The 7,009-nt window shown below is 50.5% G+C and overlaps 1 protein-coding gene and 1 long non-coding RNA gene across 57 annotated transcripts in view; one reads left to right on the top strand and one right to left on the bottom strand.

Annotated features, from left to right (window-relative positions):
• Positions 1-7,009, bottom strand: part of CACNA1C (calcium voltage-gated channel subunit alpha1 C) — a 727,171-nt gene that overhangs the window by 23,241 nt on the left and 696,921 nt on the right. For 46 of the 56 annotated variants that reach the window (XM_017019934.3, XM_017019946.3, XM_017019943.3 and 43 more), the window contains 2 exons: positions 5,675-5,777; positions 68-169 (listed from right to left, as the gene is read on the bottom strand). In XM_017019934.3, coding sequence (XP_016875423.1) covers positions 68-169; positions 5,675-5,777 — 205 coding nt within the window. Of the gene's footprint in view, positions 1-67; positions 227-5,674; positions 5,778-7,009 lie in introns of all 56 variants that reach the window. The other 10 variants (XM_017019926.3, XM_017019927.3, XM_017019928.3 and 7 more) reach the window with 1 other exon arrangement.
• CACNA1C-AS2 (CACNA1C antisense RNA 2) lies at positions 2,490-6,210 on the top strand. The gene is made up of 2 exons (NR_046579.1): positions 2,490-2,581; positions 5,694-6,210. It is a non-coding gene; the product is annotated as a CACNA1C antisense RNA 2 (long non-coding RNA).

Here is a 7,009-nt window from a genome sequence, read left to right as displayed (position 1 = left end):
GGAGAGGCAGGCAGAGGGGGGCACGGCCAGGCAGTGGCCAAGGTGCGGGAGTCCAGGGAGCACTCACCACCTGCAGGGGGCACCACCTGGTCCAGCAGCTTCATGCTGGTCCGCTTCCAGATCTTCTTGATGATCGCCCGCAGCTCCTCATTGGCTTGTTCTAGGTTCCCTGCAGGGCGGAAAGGATCCTCAGCCCCTTGGTGGGCCTCTGATGGGCTGGGTCCCTCTGCGTAAGGTAGGAAGCCACAGATGGTGGCATCTGCCCCACGCAACCCTGACTCATCAGTTTCTTTCTTGCTTGCTTCACTTCTCCCCAGTCTTCCCATTTTCCACCTCCTTCCTCTTCCCCTTCCTCTGTCCACCTTCCTTCCTTCCCCCTTCCCTCTTGTGCCCCGTCCAATGCCATTCCTGTCCCCTTCCCCCTGCCTGTGGCTCAGGCCAGCCAGGGGGCCCCTCCACCGGCACTCAGTGCTCTTCCTTGTAGACTGAGCCCAGCCCCTGGGCAGGAACAATGGCGGCCATGCGCTCACCAGCTGGAACACGTATGGCCCTGCCACGGGCAGTGGGGGGCTGGTCCCCATGGGTGGCATTTCTCATGGACCTCCTTCGGCAGTCACAGGGAACATGGATGATTGGAGGGTACATCTGTCGATGAGGGCTCTGTCCCGAGTTCCCCTACTTAGATGCCTGCCTTATGCAGCCTCTGGGGTCCTAGCCTTACAGTGATGAAAAAGGAAAGCTGAGCCTTACAGCTGTAAGGGCAGATGTAGGGGACAGGATTCTAAGATGCTCCTCATCAGGGTACACATGCTGCCAAAGCCCTGGGCCCCTGACCATCATAGATTTTACTCCTGAGATTAGGTTATATGGCACACGGCACCTATGACCTAAGACAGGGAGGTTAGGCAGGCCTGACCTAGTCACATGAGCCCTTTAAAGGCAGAGTTCTCTCCAGCCGGCCTGGAAGAAAGCAAACAGTCATGTGGGCTGAACTGAGAGAGGCAGCCTCTAGGAGCAGAGGGGGTCCCCAGCTGTCAGCCAGCAGGAAAGTGAGGATCTCAGGCCTACAATTGCAACAAATGAATTCCACCAACAACATGATCTCCCCCAGAGCCTCCAGAAGAGACCATGGCCTGATCAATATCCTGGATTTGCCTTATGAAAGCCCAGCTTCACCACTGCTGGACTTCTGACCTGCAAAACCATGAGCTACTAACGGGGTGTCTTTTTTTTTTTTTTTTTTTAGACGGAAGTTTGCTCTTGTTGCCCAGGCTGGAGTGCAATGGCGCGATCTTGGCTCACTGCAACCTCCACCTCCTGGGTTCAAGTGATTCTCCTGCCTCAGCCTCCCAAGTAGCTGGGATTACAGGCATGGGCCACCATGCCCAGCTAATTTTATATTTTTAGTAGAGATGGGGTTTCTCCATGTTGGTCTCGAACTCCCAACCTCAGGTAATCTACCTGCCTCAGCCTCCCAAAGTGCTGGGATTACATGTGTGAGCCACCGTGCCCAGCCAACGGGGTGTCTTTTTAAGCTGAAAAGCTTGTAGTAATTTGCTTTGCAGCAGTAGGAAACCAACACGGGATGTTTACTGCTCTCGCATAGGACCGGCAGTCCAGTATTGTGGTTGAGGGCTCTTGTGTCAGACTGCCTGGGTTCAAATCCACCTCTGGGGCCACAGGGCAGAGCATGCAGAGGTGGCAGTAGAGGGATTGACGGAATCCCGAGCTCCCCAAATGCCAGATCCAAACAGGACCTGAAGGCAGGGGACGACTCCTGGGCCTTCCAGCTGCACAGATGATCAGTCCCCATCACGGGAGAGGTAGCTGGAGGTTTCTGACACACGCAGTGCAAGATCCTAACACACATGGTATTCAAATATACTTAGCTTCGGTACTGGGCTGAATAGTGTCCTCCCAAAATTCATGTCTGCCTAGAACCTCAGAATGTGGCCTTAGTTGGAAATAGGATTTTCACCAATGTAATTAGTTAAGGTGAGGTCATCCTGGATGAGGGTGGGCCCTAAGTCCAATGTGGCTGGTGTCCTTCCAAGAAGAGGAGAGGACACAAGACCCTGGAGGCTATTTGAAGATGGAGGCACAGATGGCGTGATGTGCTGTGAGCCAGTGCACACCAGGCATCATCCACAGCCCTCAGAATCTGGGAGAAAGGGTGGAACAGACTCTCCCCAGAGCCTCCAGAAAGAACCAACTCTGCTGACACCTTAGTTTTAGGTCTCTGGTCTCCTAAACTGAGAGAACTTTCTCTTGTTTCCAGCTGCCCAGTTTGTGATCATTTGTTACAGCAGACCTAAGAAATTAACATAGTTTCCAAAAGGACCTTTCATTTTTTTTTATCAGCCTTAATTTATTCTCATGATGGTCTATGTAATTGTTGAAGTTCACCGACAATTGTTTCATGTCATCTAAGTATTTTTCACTATCTTCCTTTTATGTTCCAAGAGAGAAGCTTGTTTGGCTTGGTACTGGACTTGGGATGAGAGCTCTTCCTTCTACGTTCCAAGAGAGAAGCTTCTTTGGCTTGGTACTGGACTTGGGATGACAGCTCTGCTTCTCTGAGGTAGGTGTTAATTTCGCCCCAATTCCTTCCACGCTGAGAAGTCTGAAGGGTGAGGACTGATGCAAGCCTCATCTTCACAAATGTAGATGTCTTCTCACATTTCTTTCTAGTTGCTTCCAAGACTTGACTTTGTCTTTCTTTCTTAGGATTTTAACAAGTTTGTGGAGGGCCCGTGTCTGATGAAGGCTCACCCTTGGGTGGGGGCGTTTCGATTTTAACAAGTTTATGGAGGGCCCATGTCTGATGAAGGCTCACCCTTGGGTGGGGGCGTTTCGGGCCCTTTGGTAGCTGTTCTGAAATGTCTTTGTGTTTAAAAGATAGTCTGTAATTCTTGACAGGATTGTAGTTCCCACATGGCTGGCTTCTCCTCTTTTCTCTGGAACTCTTATTTCCTCAGAATTGGGTCCCTGCATTTGACTGGTCAGTCTTTCGCATTGTTACTAGCTATTGGTCTTCCTTAGTTGGCATGTGGTTGGCTTTGACAGTGAACCTTCGACCCTGCTGAATTCTTGCTTCCATACCTCCCTGCCTTTTGTTCCTCTAGGGAACAAAATCTCACATCCTTAATTTACATCAATCTTTAAGTATTACAGCATATTCCTCCTGGCAGTCATTTATATCGCCTCTCCTTCCCTCTGAACATAGGGGAGTAACATTCCTTGCAGAACATTTGGAAAGTAAAAAAACTAAAGGAGTAAGGTGGATGTCACTGCTGATCTTTCTACTCATGATAATCAGTGTTAGCATACGAACACATTTCCTTCCCAGTTTTCTTCCTTGTTATACACACATATGTGTGAATTAAATGTGTGTTTTGGCCGGGCGCGGTGGCTCATGCCTGTCATCCCAGCACTTTGGGAGGCCCAGTCGGGCAGATCACAAGGTCAGGAGATTGAGACCATCCTGGCCAACATGGTGAAACCCTGTCTCTACTAAAAATACAAAAATTAGCCGGGCGTGGTGGCACGTGCCTGTAATCCCAGCTACTTGAGAGGCTGAGGCAGGAGAATGGCTTGAACTAGGGAGTCAGAGGTTGCAGCAGGCCGAGATTGTGCCACTGCACTCCAGCCTGGCGACAGAGCGAGATTCCATTTAAAAAAAAAAAAAAAGTGTGTTTTGGTTTTCTGGCAGTCAGAAATAGGCCTATTTACACCCATTTCAGATTGAGTGATTGCATTGGCTACTGATGGTATATTTTTTAAGCCTTTGCTCTTTTTTTTTTTTTTAATTTAGTAGCAGAACTTGTCCTATTTTTATTATTTTATTTTATTTTTTCAGATGGAGCCTCACTCTGTCGCCCAGGCTAGAGTGGGGTGATCTCGGCTCACTGCAACCTCTGCCTCCCAGGTTCAAGCGATTCTCCTGCCTCAGCCTCCTGAGTAGCTGGGATTACAGGCACGTGCCACCACGCCCGGCTAATTTTTGTATTTTTAGTAGAGACGAGGTTTCACCATGTTGGCCAGGATGGTCTCAATCTCCTGACCTCGGGATCTGCCCGACTGGGCCTCTCAAAGTGCTGGAATTACAGGCACGAGCCAGCACGCCTGGCCCCTATTTTTATTTTTTAAAAATCAGCTAATTATTTTGACTTGTGTCTTGGTGGACTGGTTCTTGTTTCACTTCATTTGAAATGTTTCTGTTATTGTTTTTGAAGGATCTAACGGAGAGAAGGCCCATGTCTGGGTTATTCAATGAATTAAATTCCCAGATGTCATCACCTTTCTCTAGTCTACCAATGGAGCAACTGAAGTAGAGAGAGAGTAAATGGCTCATACTCATGTCATTAGTGAGAGAGCAGGGACTCGGATTCGAGCCTCCCACCTGCCCGGGGCTCCTTCTGTTGCCCCGAGGAACACACTGACGGACAGCCTGAGCTTTAAGCTGGAAGTGTAGGAAGGGGAAGGAAGCATACTGCTTGTCTCATCTGTGTTTTCTGTAATTACTACACCAGTGGGTTTGAATCATCTCTGTAGTTGGTTCAAGATGCAGATTCCTGGGCCCCATGCTCAGGGATTTGGCATCAGCAGGTCTGTGTGGGTGCCTGGGACTCAGTAGCTTAAACAGGTACCCAAAGCTGATTCTGCAGCGGTGGTCTTTTGACCACGCTCTAAGAAACACTAGACACTCCAAGGCTGGACACTCTTGGAGAGAAATGGTATCTTGTTAGGTGTGTTTAATACAGCCTTTCCCATAGTGGTTCGCAAACTCTTATCCATCATAAAGCAAGCAGATTATCTCACTCAGGCTGCTGCTAGCCCTTAGGGTGCCTTGTGAAAACTAGAAGGGCCCCTCCAGGTGGACGCAGCCCTGAGGGAGCCCGGTCTGACTAGGTGGCACAGGTGAGGTCTGAATCCTCACCTGTCCGCTGGCTAAGAGCCTTAAGCCAGGCTCAGCCCGCACAATGTGTGCGATGACCTCCACCACGGCCACCACTTGTCACTGTGTCCCCTTTCCCACACGTCTTCCCAGCACAGTCCTATTAATTTAATGAGTTGAGCATTTGAGACACCCACCTGTAGCCAGTGTAAGTTCTTTTAGACAGGGGTTGGTCCTGCTTCAGGTAACACCCGTCTCCTTCTGTTTTGTGAGCTATACCCTCTGACTTCAAGATACCACCCAGAATGAGTCCCAGAGTTTCATGGAAAGCTAGAGTTCAAAATGAATAAGCTAGAGCAGGCTTGTCTAACCTGCAGCCCATGGGCCACATGCGGCCCAGGACGGCTTTGAATGTGGCCCAACACATATTCGTAAACTTTCTTAAAACATTGAGTATTTTGCAATTTTTTTTTTCAGTTCATCAGCTATCGTTAGTGTATTTTATGTGTGGCCCAAGACAATTCTTCCAATGTGGCCCAGAGAAGCCAAAAGATTGGAAACCCCTGAGCTAGAGGCAGGGAGACCATTCAGGAGCAAAGAAGTCATGAGCAGGCTGGGGCCCTGCGATGTCCTGGAGCGCACGTTACCCCCGTATCCCAGCTCGGATGCTGTCTGGGGCAGGAAGTTCCCTTGAGCACTTTGCAGGCTGCCGAGCTCCTCTCTGATTGTCTGCTAGACCTTCTGAGTGTCTCTCCCAGTGCCCACGGGCGACCTTACCTTCTGTTTTGATCCTCAGGGCCGTCCTGACCAGGGCAAACAGGGTGGCATTGAACATGACTGTCCCGTCGCTGTTCAGAGGCATGTTCATGGAGACCAGGCGCTGCAGGCGAAGAGAAGCAAAGCTGGTGATGATGGCAGGCGGTGCTTAGGGGACCGCAGAACACCGTGGCAGAGTGATATGGTTTGGCTCTGTGTCCTCGCCCAAATCTCATGTTGAATTGTAATCCCCAGAATTGGAGGTGGGGCCTGATGGAAGGTGATTGCATCATGGGGTGGATTTCTCATAAATGGTTTGGTACCATCCCCTTGGTGAGTGAGTACTCATGAGATCTGCTTGTTTAAGTAAGTGTGTGGTCCCTCCCCCTTCTCTCTTGCTCCCTGTCTGTCCATGTGACGTACCTGCCTCCCCTTTGCCTTCCACCATGATTGATTGGAAGCTTCCTGAGGCCTCCCCAGAAGCAGAATGCTAGTGCCATGCTTCCTGTACAGCCTGCTGAACTGTGGGCCAATTAAACCTGTTTTCTTATAAATTACCCAGTCTCAGGTATTTCTTTACAGCAGTGCAAGGATGGCCTAATACACAGAGGATGCTGGGGGTGACACGCAGCTTGTGTGGGTGTTGCTGGAGTGGGCAGGGAGTGAATGCTCCCTGAAGCATTCCAGGGAGAATCTTGCCTTTGCCACAACTACTTTTGACCCTCCTCGTGGAGTGGGAGAGGTATGAAATTTGTCCTCATTAGACCTTCACTTCCACAAAAGGATGTGAAGGCCACCCAACTTTGCGCCCTGCTCGAAAGTCTGCTCAGGCGTGCAGGTGTGCTCTCCACTGGCAGCAAAGACCGGCTGTACGCCAGCATGTGCTGGGAGCCCACCTGCCAGGCAGCATTCGTCCACAGCCCAGAGAAGAGAAAGGATCACAGGAGCTTTGCCTGCAGGAGATGCTACATGTCCTCTCTGTGTATTGACAAATATGCTTCTGCATCAAGTTGGAGCAGAAGCTTGCTGACACTGGATAGTGCTGTCTTGCCCTCTTCTTTCCCAGCACACACCCCCAGAACAGGCTTCCCTGGCACGGAGCTCTGGTGTGGGGCCTTCAGCATGCAATGGGTCATGACGAGCAAGCGCGGTGTGAAGCTCACCACAGCGTCCATGCCAAGGGCATGCTCAAGGGGGGCTATTTGTCAGCTCACACGGTGACCTCCTGCTAATCTCAGTGTCTAGAAGGGTTACACTTCTCCTGAGTGACCAGATCTTGATGAGCCTCATGGACGGTGTGAACTGTATCTTGGCCACCGGAAAGTTTCGCACCCAGGCTTCAGCCTGCCCAGGCCC

This window comes from Homo sapiens, chromosome 12, assembly GCF_000001405.40.
Source record: "Homo sapiens chromosome 12, GRCh38.p14 Primary Assembly".
Taxonomy (NCBI): domain Eukaryota; kingdom Metazoa; phylum Chordata; class Mammalia; order Primates; family Hominidae; genus Homo; species Homo sapiens.
The sequence above is the reverse complement of the archived record's forward strand: the minus strand, read 5'-3'. Positions and strand labels throughout refer to the sequence as shown.